Source organism: Homo sapiens, chromosome 10, assembly GCF_000001405.40.
Source record: "Homo sapiens chromosome 10, GRCh38.p14 Primary Assembly".
Taxonomy (NCBI): Eukaryota; Metazoa; Chordata; class Mammalia; order Primates; family Hominidae; genus Homo; species Homo sapiens.
The window spans coordinates 118,128,339-118,153,815 of NC_000010.11; the positions used below are offsets into that span (position 1 = coordinate 118,128,339).

The 25,477-nt window shown below is 37.4% G+C and overlaps 1 long non-coding RNA gene across 2 annotated transcripts in view, besides 1 other annotated feature; it reads left to right on the plus strand.

The window, feature by feature from the left end:
* CASC2 (cancer susceptibility 2) overlaps positions 1–25,477 on the plus strand; it is a 163,333-nt gene that overhangs the window by 81,518 nt on the left and 56,338 nt on the right. The gene's annotated exons all lie outside the window — the stretch shown is intronic.
* Positions 19,262–19,506: a silencer, noted in NCBI's record as "fragment chr10:119907111-119907355 (GRCh37/hg19 assembly coordinates)". NCBI's record gives its function as "represses an EF-1alpha promoter that drives an FKBP-Casp9 reporter gene in an ReSE screen in HepG2 liver carcinoma cells {active_cell/tissue: HepG2}" and the evidence as "EXISTENCE:reporter gene assay evidence [ECO:0000049][PMID:32094911]".

Sequence of the window (25,477 nt, forward strand, 5' to 3'; positions counted from 1 at the left end):
GTAAATATATATTGAATGAAATAATAAGTGACCCAAATGATTAACACGAACTTGTAAACTATTTGGGAAAAAAACAACTATTCAGGTAAACTCAGAGGGTGATTAGATTATTCCATGAGAGAAAAAGAAAGGTAGGAGAGTTTCTCTCTTTTTCAAGAAATTGAATCTAGGGGAAAAAACAGACTGTTAGAAGCCAGAGATGGAACCTGTTCAGGGCACTGCAGTGAAACGCTTTGGAAACTGGGAAGAGACACCCCACCCAAAGGAGCTGTTGTTATTATTTACCAAGAGTAGATTTTTTTTGATCTGCTCCCTTTGTATGGGGGCAAAGAGTGATCTATAGAGAGGACGATTCAATGACAAAGCCAGGGCCTGAAAGGTGGCCTTTTGTCCAAACTCAGCTGCAGCATCTCTGAAGACTCCTTGTTTTCTAATCCCTCGACCTGGCTTTCAGAGCCCTCCAGAATCCATTCTTATCTGACTTTTCCTTTCCCTCTGTATTGTTCTTCATCAAATATCCTTCACTTTGGTGAGTCAGCAAATCAGCAGATGGAAATACACCAGGCACCTTTTTGTATAAGACCCTATATTAACAGCTTTAGGAAATTCAAAGAAGAACCACTCAGCCAGTGAGACTACCAGCCCTGAAATCTGATGGCTTGGATTTGGCTTCCTGCTTTGTGTTTTTGTAGGTATGTGATCAGAGGAGGTTACTGAACCTCTTAGAGCTTATTTGGTATATGTTTCCTCTCAGAGTTGTTGTGAAGACCAGATGAGATAATATATGTAAAGTGTTTGGCTGGCTCCACAGGTCATAGTAAGAGCTCAGTAAGTGTTAGCGTTGTCATCATCATCATCATCACCGTTCTGTACAATTCCTCCCTTCAGTTGGAGATTCAAGTCATAGGCATATAGAAAATAGCTAACAGCACAAGAGAGTATGTATTAAGCTCCAAATGGCACATTATTTTTTCTTTCCACTTTCTCACTTCCCTCTCCTCCCATTCTTTCCTTCTCTCTTGTTTCAAAGCCAAGAAACACAGCCTGATCCATTTGTTTCTTTTCGACGAAGCTCTCTCAACCTTTACATTGATAGCAGTCTCGCTCGCTCTCCTCTGAATTCATGGTCTGAGTCATCCATTTAATTTTTAATTATATATTACCTTTTATATCTCCTTCAGATCTTGTTTCTCCCAAATATGAGCTTATTGAGGGCATGGCAGGGTCTTGGTTTTGTTTGTATCCTCCGCTAATCAGAAGCAAACATTTCTGGAGCACCTGTGTGAGAGCTGACAATGTGTGTTGTGGGCACACCAAGTGCTAGGGCAGAGCTTAACTGGGTAGATATTCAGTATTTGGCAATAGATTGATCTAATATTGTTTTATAAGAGGGTATAAAGCTCATACCTGCCTTTGCAAGGAATTAAATTATTTAAGCACCAAGGCTATGTAGCTTAAAGCAAGTAGTCAATTAGGTTACTTAAATTAATTTTTGGCAGCAGCTAATCGGAGCCTGGAGTCTTCTGTCTTTAAATACCTAATCCAACACAACAAAATAAAATGATTAAGTATTTCTTAAACAATATTATTCTAAGACTTAAAATATGGGATTTAATTAAAGTTGTTAATCTTTTTATAGAAATTAATTTCAAGTAGTTCATTTTGAAAAAAAAGGGGACCTTGCATTCCTCAGGATTCTGACTGTGAACATTCCTCACTCAGGCCACCAATTCCTATAATATCTGGGGGCCAGAATAGGGGATATCCTGGATACTTCTAAATTGCAGGATTTGGAATTCAGTCTTCTAAACTAGCCATGGTTTCATATTCCAGGTATGTCAACTTTTCAGACACAAATAAAACCCAGCCTCTTTCCCAGGGTCACTGAGTGGATCTAAAATTTGTAAATGATCAATGCATTAAAGGAATAATGTTGATCCCATCATTTATTTCTAAGATAAGATGAAATTCATAATTCTGAATTGTACATGAGCATAAACCAAATATAACCAAGCACATAAAAACCACAGGTTTGCCCACTCACCTCCACACCTCCGCTTACATACACATGTGCATGTGCCCACACAGAGTTCCCTCTAAAGTCTCCCTTCACCTTCCAAGATGAGTCAATCTCTGTATTGGAAAGACCTCAGGCTTTGGAGTCAGATGGAGCTGGAATCAAAGACTTTTCTACAATTAACCATTTGTGCTGAAATTACTTACTGCCCCTAAATAAACCTTGGTTTCCTCAGCTGTAAAAAGGATGTAACAATACTTGTCTCGTAGGCATATTTGAAGATTAAATGTGATAATAAAATTAAAATGCTAATATAGTATCTGGTATATTATAAGTACTCAATAAATGTCACGTTTCTCCCAGATTCCCCTAGACAGAATGAACCTCTCCTTCCAGTACAATCCCACTGCTCTTAGAATAAATTAAAATTCTTAAATTCTCTGATAGAGTTTAACATGTGGTATTTTAATTTTTTAATGCATTTATCTTTTTCCTTAGCTAAGTTTTGGGTTTTACCTTATTATTCCCAATGTTTAGCACAGTGCGTGTCCCCCAGTTGGATGAATGGGTGAAAGATAAGATGAATGGGCAAAACTTCTCTTATAGCAAGCAGATTCAAATTGCATAATCTTTTTTTTTTCACTTTTATTTGGAACTAGGAATGTCTGAAAGATGGCGAGTAAATAGAAATTGAAATGAAGAAAATGTCTAGAAAACCTCATCAACAGAATAATGAGCTATGCTAGAATATTCATATTGTAGTTTAAGTTTGTAGCAAACATGTCAGCTAATAGAAAACATAAAGGGAAGCAACAGTGGGGGAACCTGCATTCATTCTGATAGAGACACGTGCAGTCGAAATGCTACAAGCTTCAAGGAACTTATGCTAGGCATAAAGTGAGGGACTAGAGAGAAGCAAGCTGCAAGTCACAACTCCCTCTCAGAGGTGCTGCAGGCCAGAGGAAATCTTGGCAGATTCCCCTAATTTGTAGGAGGCAGAGCAGAATGTGAAGGTGGTTGGGGAAAAGCGAGAGATTCTGCAACCTATAGTACTGTTCAGAGCCTAGAACATTCAGAGATTTAATAAAAGTAAAGCTCTTTGAAGATCATGGAGAATCTGTATTTGTCTGGATGAATTACTTAATTTCAAAGATAAAGAAAGGAGAACTTCTCCACAGGGTGGGAGTGGCACAGAGGGAAATCCAACCAGTCTCAGACTTGGCCACAGCAGGATTCACTGCCAGAGGAAGATGGAAAGGTGTACGGCATGATCCAACCGCAAGAAAGACCCATGAATACTACACCCATCGAAACTGTCTGGAAACAGGCAGATATTGGAACCCCAGAGCCCCTCTTAAAAAAATACTTATGATGAGCCGGGCGCGGTGGCTCACGCCTGTAATCCCAGCACTTTGGGAGGCCGAGGCGGGCGGATCACGAGGTCAGGAGATCGAGACCATCCTGGCTAATGCAGAGGAACCCCGTCTCTACTAAAAATACAAAAAATTAGCCAGGCATGGTGGTGGGCGCCTGTAGTCCCAGCTACTCAGGAGGCTGAGGCAGGAAAATGGCGTGAACCCGATAGGCGGAGCTTGTAGTGAGCCGAGATTGCGCCACTGCACTCCAGCCTGGGCGACAGAGCGAGACTCCATCTCAAAAAAAAAAAATTCATGATGAAATCTAGCTCACCAAGATGACTCAAAATAAAGATTTCAAGCACAGAGAATTGATGGTAAAAGGATGGGCCAAGTCCCTTTAGAAACAGAAGTAAAACCAAACGCCAGGGTATAGATGGCCTCTTGTGCAGATGTCCCTAATGTATCTATGAAACCTTCCTGAAAAACCAAAAGCAAACCCAGAAGAATCCTCCCGGAACAAACAAACCGAGAACCTTAAAGATGTTCTACATCTAAGAAAGGAACTTATAAATCACATAAATAAGAAAGTATTGGTATGAATTAACTGCATTAAAAGTAAATAACTTTGTGAATATAATTACAAATAAATGCAAATGTGATAATTTGTGAAAGGAAATGTATATACTGTAAACAATGATTGGAGCAGAAAAAAGAAGTTAATTATATGCTGCTTTCCTAATTCTGCATAAAGATGGAAAATGAGGACACCCATGGATAGTGTTTAATTATTAAAATCCAGAAACAGGAGGTCAGTCAAGTTTTTTTTAATTTTAAAACAACTGCTAATAATGTTTAAAATAAGCTCTATATATGTATTCCAAATTATTCGGAAAAAAAAAGAAAGAAATCATGGTTCATACAGACAAAAAGACAACACAAATAAAACTTCCCTGGGTTGTGGAATTGTCCCTCTCTGCTGGGGCCATTTTGGTCCCTCAGTCGACCTTGCTCTAAGACCCAAGTCCAGCTCCTTTCTGCATGTCCACATCTGGCTCTCAGGAACACACTGCCCATGTCTGTTCACTGCCCAAGTCTGGAGGTTTAGGATGTCCCCCTGACAGTTTTGACCACAGGCTGTCCCGCCAGGTAAAGGCACCCTCAGCCACAGGCTCTTGACTTCGTGTTTCCTGGGCAGGAAGCACACAGGGGTCCCAGTCAACCCTCTGAGTGAAGGAGCAGCACTTCTCCGTGGGGTGAGGGTGAACTGCACCCCCACCAACTCTCTCCAAAGAAGTCCTAACCCCTGATTCGTCACCTCGAGGATTTCTTAGACCTTTCCTAAATAAGAACGGTCCTTAAAGTGTGGTCGTGGGACCAGCATCAGCATCACCTGGGGACTTGTTAAAATGGCAGTTTCTCAGGCCTCCCTGCAGATCTACTGAATCAAAAACTCTGGGGGTGGTCCCCCAATCTGTGTTGTAAGAAGCCCTCCAGGGCCTTCTGATGCATGTGGAAGTTTGAGAACCACCGTTCCATCACAAGCGTGGAAGCGGGAGAGAGGCATGTGTGGGAATTTTGTGTCCATTGTTCCTCACCTCTTTGCAAGTCCCATGCAAGAGGCTGAGCAACTTAATTTAGATTGTACGGATGCCAAAGCTCCAAAGTACCTAGAAGAGTCATGTAAAATAAAATTCAGTACAGACAAAACATTAAATAGGAGGGTACTTTTTTTGAAAAAAGAACTTAAAGTATATATATAAAAAGATATAACACAAAGCTTGTTAAATACAGGAAATATTGAACATAAATATATTAGTAGAGAAACTGTTTTACATATTTTTTCTCAGTATTTTATATAAATAATAATTTAGGGATCTGAACAATGTAATTATATGATTGACTTAATAGCTATATGTAGAACTTTAACCTAAAAGAATGCCGTTTTGTGTGTGTGTACACCCATAAAACATTGACAGATATTGACTCTGTATTTGTCCTAAATGAAAACATCAATAAATTTCTAAAAGTAGAAGTAGCATAGGCTACCTCCTCTGGCTACAATGCAATTAAATCAAAATATTAATAGCAAATGCTTCAATCAAAATTTTTATAAGCTCCTGAAATTAAAAGTTCTATACTAGTAACTTATGAGGTGTAAAGAAAATCAAAACCTTAATTTCAGCAATATGTTAAAAAATGATCAAGTATAATTTATTCCAGGAATATATAATAGGTTTAATACTGAGAAATACATGACTATAATAGAGTGGATCAGTTGATCAAAGGATTAACATCATGTGGCCATCTCAACAGATACCAAAAAAAATCTGGCAAAAATCAATAGTTATACTTAATAACTCTTCCGAAACACTAGCCATCATCATATTAATGGTGCTATATATAGTAGAGGCATTTCCATTAAAATAGGGGAGAAAACAAAGATAGCCACTGGATGTTTTAGCTAGTGCATTAAAACAAAATTTTAAAAATGAGTTCATTAGAAACAATTTTCATCATTTATAAATGACACATTTATAAATTCTGAAAGAATAGTCTGAAAAATCTATTACAATTAAGTTCAGTAAGAGACCTGATTGCAAAACAAATATAAATATGGCTTTGCTTTATTTAGCAATATTTATTATGAAAGGATAATAAAAGAAGCTCATATTTTGTGTATATATATATATATATATAAACATATATATATATAAACAAATATTTACTCATGCAGGATCTATTTGATGAAAAACCACCAAACTTGAAGGGAGGCCTAAAACAGACCTCAATAGATGGAGAGCAATGCCTTGTTCCTGGGTGGGATGGTGCAAGATTGTACAGATAAGGACACTTCTCAAGTTAGTCAATAAATAAAATGCAATTCCAATTAAATCCCAACAGCATTTGGGGTGGGAGGACTTAACATATTGATTTAAAATTCATTAGAAGAATAAATGCTTAAGAATAAACAAAAACAACTGATAGAAAAAGAAGAGGAAGTTGACCTTCCGGCTGTTAAAATATACTGTGAAGCTGCAACAATTAGGAATGTGGTACCAAAATAGGCAAGACAGATAAATAAAACAGAATAGCTAACTCAGAAAGAGACTGTATGTGGAACATAGTACATGTGAAAAATTAGCACTATTTTAAAAATTGGTATGAATGGTGCTGAATGAACTGCTAACTGTTGTTTGAAAAAATAAACTTAGATTTATTTTTTCTACCTTATGACATGTATCAAACTAAATTCTATCCATATTAAAGATTCTATCCAATAATAAATATCAATATAGTGCTTATCATGTTTCAGATACTTAAATGTTAAAGTCATAAAAACATGAGATGAGAATTTTGATGACTGTTTAGAAAGATCTTGTGAAAACAATAAAAGTTTGATAGATGTGATTACATAAAAATTGTAAGTTTCCGAAAGTCAATAAATAACCTAAATAAAAGTAAGAGCAAACAATAAACTGAAAAGATATTTTCAATCTGCATGACAGCCAAAGGGTTACCATATCGAAAATAGAAAAAATATTATTTACAATCGAGTTAAAATAAAAAACCTGAAACAACTCCAATAAAAGAGAGACCAAGGATATTAACAAACAATTCCATTGGAAAAAGTAGAAATGGCTGATAGCATATTTTAAAACTTTTCAGCTTTCTAATAAGCAAAGAAGTGCAATCAAAACAACATTCTATTTTGCTTATTTTTAATGTAAAATAAAAAATAGAAATGTAAAAAGCATAATGTGAAAAATGTCTATGTATTTATCACCCAGAAATAACATTTTGTCATTTTTACTCTGTATGTGTGTGTATGAAAAAGAACATTACAAATGAAACCAAAAACTTCTCAGGTCTATCATCTTTGTCCCTTGCTCCTGAGATACAGCCATTAAAAAGAACTTGGTGCATATACTTTGAGTCTGTGTTTTAATATTATTACTATACAGCTGCTATATATAAAACATGATAGGTAGAGTATCAGCTTGATGTTTTCCAAACTTCATAAATAAGTGCTATCATACTATATCTGACAATATATGATCTTGCCTCTTTTTACTTATTGTTTTGTTTTTGAGATAAATTCATAATGGAGCATGTATTAGTCCATTTTCATACTGCTGATAAAGACATACCAAAGACTGGGCAATTTACAAAAGAAAGAGGTTTATTGGACTCACAGTTCCACACGGCTGGGGAGGCCTCATAATCATGGCAGAAGGTGAAAGGCACATCTCACATGGCAGCAGACAAAAGAGCTTGTGTAGGGAAACTTCCCTTTTTAAAATTATTGGATCTCATGAGACTCATTCACTATCATGAGAACAGCACAGGAAAGACCTGCCCCCATAATTCAATCACCTCCCACTGGGTTCCTCCCAGGACACCTGGGAATTGTGGGAATTTTAATTCAAAATGAGATTTGGGTGGGGACACAGCTAAACCATATCAGGGCATCTAGATACAGTTCATTTATTTTAGTTTTGATTTTATTTCAATGTATGAATATACCACAATTTATTTATTAATTACTTGTGAATATTTAGTCATTTCTAAGCTTTTACTGATAAACATACTGCAATGAACATTCTTTGTATGCATATGCAAGAGTGTCTCTCGAAATTGGGTTGCAAGATCTTAGGGGATGGACCTCTTGAGTTTTGCCTGATGCTAACAAACTGCTCTCTAAAGTGATTTTTTAAATTTACATCAGCAGTATTTCTCAAAATCCTCACCAGTGCTTAGATATGTCAAACTTTGACATTTTTGCTAATCTGAAATGGTGTCTAATTATTATTTTAATTTGCATTTCTGTAATTACTAGTGAGTTAATGGAAAATTTTAAGTGTTTCTTGGCCATTTAAATTTCGTCTTTCATGAATTGCCTGTTCATATTATTAAGCCATTTTTTCTACTGGAGGGTGTTTTTTTCTTGTTGATTGGTAGGTTATTCTGAGCACTAAGGATTTTCTTGTCATATGTATAGAAAAGACTTCCTAGTCAAAAGCTGGCCTTATAACTTTGTTTATGATGTCTTTAGTCTTGTAGATGTTTTATTTTTTGATTTGGCCAAATTTATTATCCTATTCTTAATATATTGTGCTTTTTGTACTCGTCATTAAGAAATGCTTTCCCACTCTAAAGGCATTTGACTATATTTTATATTTGTGGTTTGTATAGTTTTGTAATTTTATGTTCATTCTTTATCTTGAATTTAGTTTTTGTGTATGTCATGAGGTAAAGATCATTTTTAATAACACAGACATGCAGCTATCTCTAACATTATTAACTGTACAGTCCATCATTTTCCTGCTGTTTGCAATGTCACATTGGTCACATTCCAAGTTCTCATTTATGCTCTGCTCTGTTTTGTGCTTTCCAATCTATCAATCTGTTTACAGGTCCCCTACCACCTCCAAACTGTTTTACTTACTATAACTTGCAGTAGACTTAATATTCAGTATAACAAATCTTTTCTTCTTATTATTCCCACTCTCCCGCCCTCTTACACTTCTAGGAGTTTCTTCATTATTCTTGGATCTTTACTTTTTGAATGAACTTGGAGTGATTGCCCTAGTGGACTGAGATATCCCATTGGAGTTTTGATGAAGATCAGAAATTGTTATCTTTATAATATTGAGTCTATGAATCTGTTAACATGGATTTCACTTGATCACAGCTTTTCTATAATCTTCAGTGGTGCCTCCCCTTTTCTCCGTGACCTTATTATACATCTTTGTTTCATTTATTCCCAGGTTCCTTATAGATTTTACTGTCATTGTAAATGCCATGATTTTGTTCTTTTTCATATTCCAATTGGTTAGTTGTTGTATATTGAAAAGTGACTTTTTTGTATATTTTGATCTTGTAGTCAACAGCCCCACTAAGCTCTCTTATTTCTTTTAATCATTTGTCTATAGAGTACCTTGGATTTTGCTTGTAGAGTATGATATGTTCAAATACTTTGCATTCTTAAAGAAAATTACTTATTTTATCTATTTCTTTCTAATTTGTTGGCATATAATTTTTGTAGTATCTTCATATAATTTTAAATATCTCCATCTGTAGGTGCATACTTTTTTGATTCTTAATACTATTTGTGCTTTCTTTTTGCTTTGAACAATCTTTATACATATTTGCCTATTTTATTAATATTTATTAAAGCAGCTAATTTTTTTGTTGATAATCTTGATTCTTTTTCCTTGGTGTTCTATTTCATTAATTCTGCTTTTTGTTTTTTTATTTTTTTGGCTTTTTAAATGAAATAGCTCCTGCTTATCCCCATCCTTTATTATTTTTCAATAAATATGCTTAAGTCTACACATTTCACCTTAAGCATTTCTTTAAGTTGTGTCCCACCTGTTTTTATATGGAGAATTTTGCTATTATTTATATCTGAATATTTCATAATTTCCATTATGACTTTTTTTTGTATAATATATGGATGATTTATGATTGACCTTTTTTTCATTTCCAATGTTTGAAACTATCTTTTTATACTGGATTTATGACTCAATTGCTTTATAATCAGATAACTGGTTTTTACACTATCAATTTTCTGGATATGAGTTTTGGTATAGCTGTGGCTAATATAATATTTATCCTGTAAATTGAATGGGTTTGTTTTTGAAATTTCCACTTTGGTTATTTTCACTTTTATTTATTTATTATTTATTTTTTTAATTAATTTATTATTTTTTGAGACAGAGTCTCGCTCTTTCACCCAGGCTGGAGTGCAGTGGCATGATTTCAGCTCACTACAACCTCTCCCTCCTGGGTTCAAGCAATTCTCTGCCTCAGTCTCCCGAGTAGCTGTGATTACAGATGCCTGCCACCACTCCTGGCTAATTTTTTGTGTTTTTAGTAGAGACGGGGTTTCACCATCTTGGCCAGGCTGGTCTTGAATTCCTGACCTCATGATCCACCCGCCTCAGCCTCCCAAAGTGCTGGGATTACAGGTGTGAGCTCCCATGCCCGGCCCATTTTTGGTTATTTTCAAACCTGCCTTCTCTCTATCTCTCTGTCTCTGACTCTCTGTCTCTCTCTCTCTCTCTCTCTCTCTGTCTCTCTCTGTCTCTCTCAATAGTGCTCTGCTTATATCTTATGGCTTCTTTGACTTCCTTAACTCCTTGGATAGTCTCAAGATTATTTCAAATTATTATTTTATATCCAGTATTTGGAGTGCATAATTCCCATGGTTATGTGGTCTCCTCTTCCTCCATCGTGGTTTATTTCCCCATGTGGTTTGTAATTTTCTGTTGTGAAATCATCTTTAGTAGTGTTTGTTTGTTTGTTTGTTTTTGAGATGGAGTCTCGCTCTGTCACCCAGGCTGGAGTGCAGTGGCATGATCTTGGCTTATTGCAACCTCCACCTCCTGGGTTCAAGCGATTCTCCCACCTCAGTCTCCTGAGTATCTGGGATTACAGGTACCTACCACCATGCCCAGCTAATTTTTGTATTTTTGTAGTGATGGGGTTGGCAAGGCTGGTCTTGAACTCCTGACCTCAGGTGATCCGCCCACCTCGGCCTTCCAAAGTGTTGGGATTACAGGCGTCAGCCACTGCACCCGGCCAGTAGTGGTTGTTTTCCTGGAAGTCTCATTACTATTTTGTAAAATTATCCTCACACAGTGGTTTAGCTTTTATTTCTGTAGCTACCCATAGACTTTGTTGCTCTAGAGTCACTTTTTAAATTAAATTTTCAGTTTTGAATTATTGTACCAAATGAGTATATGGAGTCTGACACCACATTGGTATGTGGTATAGTCCTGTTCTAGTTCCTGGAGATGACTCATTTTCCCACTTACAGTCCCACATAGTTGACAAGGAACTGGCTACTCTTTCTTTCTCCTGGCTTTATGCACACAGCATCATTCAATATCTGGGCATGATGGGGAACTATACCCTACCCTTGCCTTCTGGTGGGGACTCTGGAGCCCCTCCCCACCCAGGCCCATCTCCCATTCCCATGAGCTCCCCTGCTTCTGCTTTCACTCAGTGCTGCTATTTGGAGAAGTTGGCTTCCAGGTGCTTTCCTTGACTAATTTCTGGCTTGGTTATGCATTTATTCGTTCTATGATGATATATTTTACGTGCTTTTAAACAACGGGCTTGGAGGGGCTGAGGTTTTCTCTGTCAGCTGAGACATCTTAAAACTATTATTCTGTTATTCAATTGGTATAGATTAAACAAAGAAAAGATAATGCTAGTTGATGCTAGTTGTTTAGGGATATGAATATTCACATACACCATTTGGTAGGAATATAGATTACAGTAGAATTAGATCGTTCATATAAAAAGCCTTAGAAAAATGTGCATATCCCTAGAATAGACAATCCTATCCTGGTAATCTGTCCTTAATTATTTAAGTAAATAATATTTAATATCTAAGAAATAATTATTTAATTAAATAAATTATCTATTTAAATAATTAAGAATGTGGGCAAAGACATAGCTACCATCATTGCAATATTATCAGATGGTAGTAAATTGTGCTAATGGGAAATATTTTTAGTGAGCCTTGTATAGGGTTTTGGACAACTAAATATTTAGGATACATTGTCTTCTCAATCAAAACATACTTTAGTGTCTCCTGGTTGTTAAAATCCTCTTTTGGGACAATTTTTAATATATTGATTTGCCTACTACTGCAAGGAAAGCATTGGTATTTCCATATTACTGGTTTCAGGCCCTATCAATATATAATTACCAAGAAGTTAAAAACATTTATAATAAAATATATATAGTATAGAGTGAGCATATGTCAAGTATTTATTCAAATCATTAATGAGGGAACCAGTAGAATGACAAATCAGGTTCTAAGAGGGTATGAAAAAAGAATGCTGGCCTAAGAGTGCTAAATCAGATGTAAAATTGTTTAATGTCCCACAGGTCGATGTAATCATTACCTTTAGGTTTCTATTTTCTACTGGACAGAAATCCTGTGTGTCTGTACCATACAAAATTCATTTGCAACTTATAAAAGTCTATAAATTAACATAACCTTACTGATTCTGAGTCCTAGTCAACAGTAATAGTAAGGCAAACAAAGTTACATTTCCTTAGAGTCCAATATTGTGACACAATACTCCAATAGTACATTAAAAAGGCATGCAGTAATTTCTGAAGCTTATTTCCAAGATTTAGAAGCTTTTCCTTAGTAGCCTCAGTTATTCCAATTATTAAAGTTGATGATAGTTAAACCACCATTCTGGTTCCTGAAGTATAAAAGCTGGGGTTCAGCTATGATCTCTCGTTCTCTAGCATCTAATGGGTCTCTAAGTTATCCATCCATCTTCTTCAAGGTTCTGAAACAGCTATTCCTTTTCTCCTGTGTTCTCTACTGCTGTCTTAATTCAGGTCATTTTTAAAGTTTTACTTGGACCATTGCAATATCCTCTTAACTGGTCTCCGATGTGTTCTTCCTCTAACGCATTTCCCTGACTGTTGGCCAGAGCTATTGTCCTTAAGTGCAGATCTGATCATGTAATTTTCATGCTTAAAAACCTTCAATGCCCATCTTCTGCCATCATCTAAAAAAACCTTCAAACCTTCTAATATGCTATTTCTGTCTCTTCGGAGTCTGACTCAAAGTTTCTTTCCAATTTTATCTTTCACTGCAACCTTCCTAAACCTACCTCCACAAGCCAACCACACAGTCTTCTTGCCATTCCTTGTACCTGCTGTAAATTTTCTTGTCTCTCTCAGCTTAGTTCTTTCTTCTCATTATATAGCCTTTCATTTTGGAGTGCACATCTCCTACCAGTTACCCTTCAAACCCTGGCCTGGATGACTTCCCCCTCCTTCACTCCTCCTTCCATACTTAGAATTCATGTTTTCTTGAACTGCAATCCCATTTTTCTTTGTCACCTTATCAAGGCACTTACTACATATTGCCTTAATCAGATGAATTAGTTACATCTCTGTCTCCCTTAGTAAATCATAAACTCCTCGATGATTTAACTGTGTCTTATTTATAATCCGCCACGTTAGCTAGAATAGCACTTTGTACCTAGTGGAGGCTTGCACATGTTGGTTAAATGTTATCGCCCTCAGTAGAAGTGCTTGAATCTGGAAAGGTAGAGCAAATGCTCGAAGAGCCACAAAGGAAGGAAACGTAACTTTGTGAACTGGTCTCCTTTTCTCCTTCTGTTGTCAAGGACAAGAACAATTTTACGAACATGAGGAATGACCTCTTTTGAGAACTTAACCCTGCAGCTTGGGGAATAATGTGGTGTGATAAGACAGAGTTGTCAATTTGTATTTTTTAAAAAATGATTTATGTATTCAATGTATTGGGACTTTTAAAATTTCTCAAACTGAAAGGATGGTCAAACAAAAATGATGCTGAGTAAAAAAAATAAAGAATCTAAATATTGTACAGAAGGTATTTAAACTAGTCAAATGAAAAGCAGATGTCTTAAATTAAAACACATAAATTATTTGAGCTTAAAAATTTCATATATCTTTGTGATGAAAATCTATCATTCAGGACCTAATAAGAGATTTTGAAAGTTTACATATTTGTATGTTTACTTAGTGACATTCAATCAAATGTCTCTTTAAAGAGTTGTTTAGAATTATAGACAACAATGATTATGTTCTTATTGCATTATCTCCATTTCAATGTTTTTCTTAATACTTGTTTAACTTTGGGAGATTTAGAAAACATAAAACAGTGCATGGAAGAAGAAAATGACAATTATCTATATTTTCTGAGAGCATGAATGTATTTGAAGCATTCGCAGCAATCTGGATGGGCCCTTTCTTTTTCTGCGGTCTACTGTCCCTCCTGGAATGGCCCAGCCAGTGGGTCTTTCTCAGTAAGATAACCCTTCTCACACACTTCTCTTCTTCCAGATAGAAAGATTCCTTAGAAGGTATCTGAAGACTTTCTCCTCTTGGACCAAAATCTTGGGTAACCAAGGCATTTTCTTTTAAGTTCACCTAAGAAAAGAAAACACAACAATGGTATGAAAACGTTCCCACTTCCTCTTCCATGTGTGGGGAAGTGGATGAGATCAACTCTTTCTGGCATCCCAAGCTCTGACTCTGGGTCCTACACTTTGGTTGTATTGTACTTTTGTCTTTATTAACAATGTGCTTTATACTCTGACACAAAATGTTTTTGCTTCCAAACACACATCCAGCTTGATGAAGGAGGGTCAAGGGGGACTATTTGGAGTGAAAATGCATCAGAGCTGGGCATGGTGGCTCACACCTGTAATCGTAGCACTTTTGGAGGCTGAGGTGGACAGATCACTTGAAGTCAGGAGTTTGAGACCAGCCTGGTCAACATGGTGAAACCCCATCTCTACTAAAAATACAAAAATTAGCCAGGCATGGTGGTGCACACCTGTAATCCCAGCTACTCAGGGGGCTGAGGCAGGAAAATCTCTTGAACCCAGGAGGCAGAGGTTGCATTGAGCCGAGATTGTGCCACTGTACGCCAGCCTGGGCGACAGAGTGAGACCCTGTCTCAAAAAAAAAAAAAAAGAAAAGAAAAAGAAAAGAGAGAGAAAGAAAGAAAAAAGAAAGAAAAGAAAATGAATCAGGCTGAAATTATGCATGGAGCATTCAGGTATCTGTCTGGGTGGACCTAGGATAGGGGTTCCATTTGATGACTTAATTCCTACATGGCATGAGAGATAAGTGTTGCACAAATTCATAGTGAGCATAGAAAACCACACTTCTGTACAAGAAATACCAGGGGAACATTGATTTTTTTTCTGCCCTAAAAACTCCTTGTATGTTGCAGAATAACTCTCATCTTTACAGTTCTCAAAACTAGTAGATCTTCTAGACTCATCATGCTTCCTAGCCAGGAACCCTGGTAAGGCCACTGGTGAAAACCAAACAAGAAGTAACAGTCTTTGAATTTTCTAATACCCCCACATATTTGTGAGGAGCTTACATTATTGTCTCCACCAAATAGATGGAGGTCAGTGGCTTGTCCCAGGTCACACGGCTAGGAAGGGGCAGGAGTAATACTTCACCCCTTTCTCCTCTTCAACATTCTTCCTCTGACACCATCAGGCCTGGCCAATTTCAAGAATACATTATTATTCATGTGACAGAAAGAGACATGGCATTATAAGGTGACATTATAAGAATCAATTTCATGAGAAACCCATCTGAAGAAACTTTTGGAAGAGTGAATTTTATCAACATTATTGTGGGATTCTAGTTTTAACAACTCAGTGATCTGAGCCAATGTGAAGCTCTCCGTCTGTTACAATTCCCTTGAAATTCAGGGCAAAATGCAAACAAATTAAAACAATCTAACAAACTGAAAAATGTATAGCTGAGCTTGAAAGAAAGAAAGGAAAATCTCTGCATGCCAGAAATTGATAGCAAACTTGCAAAGCAAGTGCAGAAGTTTGCCAGCTGTGGAGAGGCTGCTGTAGGGTCATGGACCCAGACAGAGGCCCTAACAGCTGGGGCCTTGGGTTTTAAGGCCCGAGCAGGGTCAGAAGCTAGAAATTAAGACCTTTGGAAGGAATTTTAGAAGGGAAAGATCTTGTTCTTAGAAGAAAAGAAACAAGGACATGTCTTTTTATCTGGGGCACTGGATGGGGGTTGGAGGGAGTCCCCCATGAGAAGTCAAAATGAAGTCACATGTGGATTTATATGGCCCTCATGGTGTATACTTTTTACACCAGAAAATGAATATAAAAACGGGTCCCCAAACTGTGAAGCCCAGTGAATGCAAAATCAAGATATCTCCGTAGCAGTATTTTCAAAACCTAAAGCACATGGGAAAAAGTCAGTCTTGTTGCTGAACACATTTTTCTTCTTTAATATGGCATTAAGACTGGTGACTGCTGCAAAAATTTTATTAAATAAATGATTTCCTTGGAACTTCAATCCCAAATCAAGTCATTGACCATTTTGGGGGATGTCTTTCCTTCTACTTGAAGAGTTGCAGAGTGATCAATTTAATTCCTGTCTTTATTATTCATACTCTTGACTACTAGTTTATAATATTGAATTTAAAACAGAAAGAATAAAACCAAATGAAAGAAACCTTATTAAATGCATGAAAATCTTTTATTAATATAATTTTTAAAAATTAGTCGAGGAAAACAGAAAAAGTTATGGTGTAAGAATTCTGTAGACTAGAGTGTTGACTTACTTTGCAGAACCAATAGCACATAAGGACGTATTTTTTTCTTTAACCCCTTTTGTAATTACTTTAGAACAGTTTTCTTTTGATTTGGGTGGCTTTTTAATTGTCATTGTTCTCACACAAAACTTTCAATATTGACTGATGAGAGATTTGTCAGCTTTGAGTTTCCAAATGCTTAAAAATAGTTCAGTGATCTTGCAAATACACACAAGCGCACCTCTTTTCTCCTTGTTCGGGAGAAGCTTGAAGTCAGAAGAGCGGCTTGTTTACTTTCACCGTAGCCCCCCCATTTGCAATCCAAGTGAACCTGCCATGACCTCCTTTGACCAAGCCTCTTCATCCAAAAGGCAGCCAGAGAGCATCTTGTGGCCAGATGTGCGCCCCCACAGCCAGCGTTCCTGGGCTCAAATGCATAAATCCCCTGCTACCTGCGCTGACTGCTTCTTCACTGTTAACAAATGCCTCTTTGGACGGCTGCTCCCTGACCCAATTCCAAGGCAGGGAGGCGATTGGCCATTTTGTGAAATGACACAAGATGGATGAGGTGTCATCATCTCCAAACCCAAGAAGATGACAGTTAGGCCTCATGCCCAAATCCTCCTTCTCCTTTCTTAGCAAGCACCAAGTTGATGAAGTTATCCTATATCACCACTGGGTCCAAGAAGTTTCTGGATCCCTGCAATACAAGATGAATTTCCATATTCCATCCACATAGGCCAAAACACCATCGTGAATGTCCAGTTCCCTTATTGTTTGTCCAGGATCTAAATGTTTCTGTCTGGCTTCTCTTACCTATTGATGCATTAAAAAATACTCAGTGGTGAAAAATATTGAATATAGTGCATTAGCTCCAGGGAAGCCAGCATTAGCCATTAATATTTCAGATTCATCTTTGCTGGAGAAAAACTATTTATCTTCTTCAGTGCATATTTTCTCCATCTTCATTCTTTTCCTTTCACTTCTGGAGCCGTAAACCAGTTGATGACGCTGATGTAGCACTGTACTAAGGATTTCCGTCTTGATTCTCTCATTTAATCCTCTCTACAACCCTATGAGATAGGTTTTACTGGTATATTTTACAAGATGGGACTTTCCACTGCCAAATCCTGCAAAATTTCTGCTACATCATTGCCAAGATTTTCGAGGGTACATGGTTCAGTTCTTTTCTTGCTTTGATGAGTGAACTGAGCCCCTTGACTTCCTGAAACCTGGCTGCCAACAGACAATGGTAGAACCAGGAGCCACCAGGTCCAGTTTGCTCTTAGTCCGCACCTCCTTCTACTCCCCTCTGCTCCTCTCCACTGCCCTCTCTTCCACTTTCCACTCCACTGTTCCATGTGCCTCTACAGCATGCACAGTTGCTTGTGTCTCCATGGGTCTTAGAGAAAGCTGCTGCACTAAGCCCAGTATCCCAGGTACCCAAAACTGTTGACTCTGCATCATCAAATGAACGCCCCAACCCCACTGCCACCTCTCACATCCTCTGAAGTTACTGGCCCCTCTCTTCCTGACTCCCAGATGCTTTCACAGGATAAATTAACAAGTTCAGAGCAAGGAATTCTTGCATGTAATGGATGTGGACCCTAGTCAATGGATAAACAAGATACTATTCAGGATAATAAATTTACTTTTTAAAATTTTACTTTTTCTCATGAGCTATGATCTCTACTTGCCTCCTATACAGTCTTGGAAAACTGGAAGCAGAACTGCAAACTAATTATTATCTCTGAAGTAATATTTGCCCATAGTTCATTCCTCGGTTCATGTTGGCAACAAAAAGACCCCTAAGAGTCATGATGCGGGAAGATCCCTGTTTCCATTCCTAACATTTCTTCATCATCATTCATGGGATACCTGGTGTCCAACACAGTTAAACGACAGTGGTAGCCCCTTTCATTTCCATAGTTCTTTACAGTGTATAAAATCCTTGTAGGTAATTTTCTTACAGTCCTCATTTATAAATATAAAGCTAAATCTCAGAAACCTTAAGGAACTTGCCTAAAATAAAACAGCAAGTGGCAGAGTGTGCAAAATCTCCCAGTTTCCACTGCTGTGTATGACACAAGCTATTATTCATGAGCCACAAACAAGAGTGCCACAAAGACAAACCCCATACATCATCAGGAGAAATCGCACAGACCTTGATGAAGATCACAAGTGGTTTACTGATCACAGGTTCTGTAAAGGGCATTGATGGCCATCTGAAGAAGTTATTATACACAGTCTTTTCAGGAAACTTAAATTTTGTCAAAGAGGATGCTTGCTTTAAGCTACTCAGGGTCTTAGCCTTGAATGACTCCAAGAAGCACCATCCAACTGATATTTTTTGGCAAATGAGAGTTTTTCAATAATATAACGTGAGCCAAATGTTCACTGTGATTTTTCACTCAAATGAATAGAATCAGAGAGATTTACAACTGAAAATAAACCTCTCTTGGTCTTCTGTGATGCTGGAGCTGGAACTTGCTTTAAAGGTCATCAACTCCTCCACCCCTATTTGCCCACCAGTATCTCTAGCTAGTGGTTTTTCACCCCTTTCTGGAACAGAGTCTGTGAGGGAGAATCTCACCCTCTCAGAAAGTAGCTTGTCGAATTCTGCCCGAAGTTTATGTTATTAGAAACTCCTTACACCAACAGAATAGTTCCACTTCTACCTGGCAGCCTTTGTTTTTAGTCAGATAAGGAAACAAGGGTCAGATAGGTGAAGTGTACCACTCTTGCCTGGTCGCAGGGTTGATGGATCCGACAACAGTGTCCCCTAAGGGTCTTACTCCAGCACCCCAGAGAAGAGCAAGGGTTCAGATACTGCCACGTGCTACCACCTGCCTTGTTCTCCTTTCTATCTGGGTTGGATCTGGGCAGGACAAGACCACATGAGTGGTGCCTGGGTATTCCAGAGTGACCACTGTTGTGCACCACACTTTCTGAGCATTTATTTCACTTTAAGGCAATTACTTGTTTATTTGTCTTTGAGTTCCTCAAGGACAGGGACCATGTTTGGCGGGCTTAGCAGTGTATCTCCAGGGCCTGGCACGGTCCCTGGCATGTAAAAACTTTTATTCTGAATAAATAAAACAGAAACTACAATTCCCGTCACCCTTGGGACCTTCATCTCATAACTCCACACCATGGAATTTCCCATCCATGTTCATGCAAACCTGCCCCAAAGTGATTGGCTTCTAGTTTTGGAAATCACAGGTTTCTGTGACCAATTTGGCCAGCCAAGCACAAGAAGCAAAGGAGTAATATCCATGCTTGAACTTTCCTCTTCGTGTTTTGAGGAGATCATTGTCAATTTTTTTAACTTGCAAAAGTCAGGAGGGGATTTTAAATGCAAACGGACTTTGGCAAGTTGAGTGATTGTCAGGCAGCTATGAGAACAAACTTCTGTGTCCACTCTGGAGGGGAAAAGGAGGCAGGGTTTCAGCTTTAAGCAGGAGATTTATTTTTTTAGATCAGGTGTTTTTTGAAGTTTGCAGATGGCAATTTCATTTGCATTTAATGTCCTTCAGATTATTTCCTTTCTGTTGTGCTAAACACCTCTCTCAGTTGGGTCTAATTTGATGAGGTCATGCTGTGACCCTTGACCCTTTGGATCTTAAATGAAACCATCTGACCAGAAAGGAGAGAGAGAGTTCTTAGTCTTGTTCACAGACATTTGATATTTGCAGATGTGCAGCCAACTTTGCTAACTACCCACTTGCCAGTTTAGCTCTTGATTAGAAGTAGAACTAGCAAATTCCCTGAGAGTCAAACATTTGAAGAATAAATGGGTCCAATTAATCCTTTGTCACATTCTTGTCAAAATAAAAGGACTATGCCAAAGGAAGAAAAACAACCGCCTGTACCTACAGAGGGTAATTTGGGATATTAGCAAACAATTAATCTTGGAAAACACCTAAATACTGCAGTGTACAAAATGTTTGCAAAGTGCTCTGCCAGTGAATTGAGATTTACTATGAAAAATAGACAAAGACATTCTCCTGTTACAGAAAAAGCTGCCTACCCATTAGGTCCTCGTCGTTACACACTGGGGGAAAGGAATCCATTCTAACTCCTTAATTAGAACTCAAAACAAAAATTGGGAAAGCAGGTGCCTAAGTAGAAGGTGAGATTTTCCCAGGAGAATAACATTTTTATGCTGGGTTAGGCATTTAATTATAGTCTTGTGAACAGTTTTGCAAGAATGTTCACTTTTTTCCCCTAGAATTTTACCAAGCATCTGTCTTTCTAGATATACAGAACTCAACCTTATTCTAACTTTACTTATATGTTACATAATATAACCTGTAAAGTGTCATTCTGGGAAAAGATATTAGTACCCCAAATTTACTACTCAGAGAGAAAAATATCTGTTTCTGTCATACTGACAGCCTACTCTCTTGGCTCATTAACCTTACTTGATGGGCCATGTAACTTCTGAGTTTGTGGCCCCTGATGAGGTAGAATAAATGTAACTTCAGAGTCTGATGGGCTGCTTTACATCTAGGCTCTGTCCTGCATTATGTGTTGTCTCAGACAATATTCATTTCACCTTTTCTAATTCTAAATTAATACACATTAAATGAATGAAGATAAAAGTATGAAGCAGAAAGAAAGGAATCATTCAGTTTAATAACTATAATATGTAAGTATATTATCATTCAATTTTCCCTGATTTTTAAAATATGATTGAGGTAACACTGCATTTATAATTTTGTACTTTGCTTTCCACTTAATGTCATTATATCAGCATTTTCCAGGCCTTCATAAACATCATATTAAACAGTTACATTAATATAATTGTACATTATGTGTAATATATTTAACCTTAGTCTGACATTGGTCATTTACATGGTTGCTTTTTTTGCTATTATAAATAACACTGTGATGAACATCTTTTTGCATCAATCTTTATTTACATTTTGGATGATTTCCTTAAAATAGATTTTAATATGTTCAAATAGTGTGCCAAACGGCATGAACATGAATTTCAAGCTCATGAATCACCTTGCCAAATTGCTCTCCAGAAAAGTTGTACAAGATTACTTTCTTACCAGCACTTCACTCCAGCCATACAAGCTTGAGTAATCTTACTCAAAAATGATAAGGAAAAAAATAGGTGTATGAAAAGTATTATCTCATTGGTAATTTATATACAGCTCATTGATTATTAGTAGGTTTAATTACATGTTCATTAACTATTTTTATGTCTTCTGTTATAAATTTCCATTGAATAGTTAATTTTTCTTAGGCTCATTTTCCTCATCTGTAAAATGAGAATAATAATACTGTGCCTGCCTAGCCTAATACTGTACCTTTCCTAGTTTTAGGAATTAACTGAGATTGCCCATGTAAAGTTATGTACACATTAAGAGGCATTTAATAAGTGTTACTGCTCTTCATTTCTTTGAGATTAAACATAAGGACAATCTACACTTTTTTTGCTTTTTCTCTAGTTGGTAAGACATTGGTGGGTTGGATTCCCTTGGAAACTTTCTGATCACAACAGACATTCGTTGGCTCTCATTATCTGTTAGGCACTATGCATTATCTCATTTTTTATATTCACAGTAAGCATGAGATGGGCATTCTTGTTCTCAGTCCTCATGTGAAGAGAAGGAGGAGTAGCGAGGCTTAGCCACCTGCTTGGAGCAGAAAAGCCAAGACTCAAGGCTGGGCAATCTCAGCGTGGAGCCTACCCTCCCAACCACTAGGCCGCTGTCCAGTGATGGGCCCTGCTTGGTGCTCAGGGTCAGGAGTGGGGCTGCCCAGATTCCCATTTGCTCAGCTTTAATGCTATGATCTGATGTAGATCACACTCTAGTTCTGGGCCATAATGTCCTCCTTGGTAAAAGGAAAGGATTTGGTAAATGATTCTCAAGTCCCATCCACAAGTGCATGGATAACTTTAGACAGGTGTGTGTGCACATTCATACACATAGAGACTCACACAACAATAGACACACTGAGAAGTCAATCATGCACACACTCTACATCTATCAATACCTATATCTATATATCTATAGCTACTCTATCTATTACAATTAGACAGATACACAAGTTGAGTGTCCCTTATCCAAAATGTTTGGACCCTGAAGTATTTCAGATTTTGGATTGGTTTAGATTTGGGAATATTTGCATTACACTTACTGGCTGAGCATCCCTAATCTGAAATCCAAAATGCTCCAGTGAGCATTTCCTTTGAGCATTATGTTGGTGCTCAAAAGGTTTTGGGTTTGGAGCATTTCAAATTTTGAATTTTCAGAATAGGGATAGTATGTGTGTGTGGGTGTGTGTGTGTGTGTACACATAGTATAACACAACACTATGAGGTAGCTTGTATTTTCCCCATTTCCCAGAAGAGGAAGCTGAGAGACAGAGATGTTGGTGTTAGCTGTTAAGTGCATGCTCGCAATCACTCCCCTCTGCCATCTTTCTTGGATAGAAATGTTGCATTAAACAAGATCAAATGAATTAAAAATAATTACCAAGGCTTGGGAGCATACATTTTTTCTCTCATACTAATAATATTGTGAAAGTTGCCAGTACCAAAATGAAGTCACTTATGTCAAAACCCTAACAAAATGGAGTTAAGTGGGCATCAAAGGAGCCTGCCCAGTGAGGGGCCCTGCTTGATGCTTAGAGCCAGAAGTGGGGCTGCCTAGATTTCCATCTGCTCTCCTTTAACATTGATGTGGCTCATACCCCAATTCATATCCCCAGTTCACACACCTCACACGCATGCCTGAGACTTTCCTTATCACAACAAATCCCTGCACATTCCACAAACCCCACATGTCCTGCATGCCCTACATGTACCATGTGACATAACTTACCACCATAAATTCCTCAAGATTATAGCATTCCAGATAAGCCGCCCTGCTATCTACCAGTGAGCTAATACCAACTCCAGCAATGAGCTTCTGTGACCAATGAACTTTGTTTCAAAGCACCTTATGTGGATTTCTTCTCTTTACCTTTAGAAGTTTCCTCTTGCTCCAACCTCTCCATATATGCCAGTGATCCACCATAACATGCATGTCTCAAAATTACAAAATTATTATCCCCTGCATATTCCCAAATATACTTTTTTTGAGAGCCTCCCTCTCTGTCATTATTTTAGTTTGACGACATTAACAGAAACCTAATTTTAAAAAAGGATAAAGTCAGCAGCACTTGTACCACACTCTGTGATATGGCATAAAATGTTTCCTTTAAATCTCCATCCACATGAAATTGTGATTTTAATACATGTGATCGAGAATGGATTTTGCTTTACTTAATTTAGTTTTGCTTCATTTAATATTATTTCTATGCTGCTACATAGTCATTATAATCATATTTTTAAATTGTAGACTAACACTTTATCAAGTGACTAGTCCATAACTTACTTATCCCTTACTATTGTACATTTACATTATTTCCAATTTTCTTCACAATCTCAAGTAACATTGCAATAAACACATTTATTAGGATTATTTTAAAGATTAATTTAAACTAAGATAATTACCTTGAAGACTTCTGCAATTGATTATTTTTCGTTTCAAAAGTTCATTTTATAATTTATTGTGCTTTCTTGGTAATTTAATTATGGCCAATGATTGCATTGGAAGATGATAGGGAAACAAAATGATGAATATGCATAGAATTTGGCACCTAAAATTTCTGAAAATAACACAAACATATTATAGAAAAGAGATTTGATAATAGTTAATTTTCCTTTTTTTGTTTTCTTTCTTTCTTTTCTCTTTCTTTCTTTTTTTTTTTTTTTGAGACAGAATTTCGCTGTTTTTGCCCAGGCTTTAGTGCAGTGGCACAATCTCGGCTCACTGCAACCTCCGCCTCCCAGGTTCAAGTGATTATCCTGTCTCAGCCTCCCAAGTAGGTGGGATTACAGGCGCCCTCCATCACACCCAGTTAATTTTGTATTTTTAGTAGAAAGGGGGTTTCACCATGTTGACCAGGCTGGTCTTGAACTCCTGACCTCAGGTGATCTGCCCGCCTCTGCCTCCCAAAGTGCTGTGATTACAGGCGTGAGCCACTGCTCCCAGCAGGTAATAGTTAATTTTCAAAGAAGAATCTCTTAAAATCAATTTTTTAAAAAGGAAGCTCTGCAAAGGCCAGTTTATTTTGTGATCATAATTCCTTTCTGACCTCGTAACCTAAGGGTTCAATGCCATTCTAGGTTGTGTTAATAGACGCAGTATTGCAGGACAACAGATCTAGGTGTTTCCCTAGAAATTTAAGGAACAGTGAATGCAATGAAGAAAAACATTTATACTTAGCCTGTGGAAGAAAATACCTGGAAGGGTGACGTTATCCTAACTATCTCAGTTTGCCCAGGACTGAGGGGTTTTCTAGGACTTGGGATCTTGAGTACTAAAGTCAAGAAGGTCCTGAGCAAGTCAGATGAGTTAGTCACCTCAGCAGGGATTTGGCATTTTCCATAAGGCCTCTAAGGACAGAAACAACACCAGGAGTGTACACATTACATAGAGGCAGTTTTTCAAATTTGGCATCAAGTGGCACTTTACAATCACAATGGGATAGGTGGCTTTGACAGTCTCTGAATATATTTTTTAAAAGTCAGGGCAACCACTTGTTGAATATGCTAAAGAAGCAAAGGCTTTCAAATGTTGTTGCATATTAGAATCCCCTGGGAAGCATTTGAAACTCCCCTTGCTCTCATCTCTGACCACACTGCAATAAAAATGGAAATAAATACCAAGAGTATCAAAACCACACAAATACATGGAAACTAAACAACCTACTCCTGAATGAGTTTTGGGTAAACAATGAAATTAAGACAGAAATCAAAAAATATTTTGAACAAATGAAAATAGAGATACAACATACCAAAACCTCTAGGATGTAGCAAAAGCAGTGTTAAAAGTTTATAGTGCTAACTGTTCACATCAAGAAGATAGAACAATCTCAAATTAGCCACCTAATCTCATACCTAAAGGAACTATAAAAACA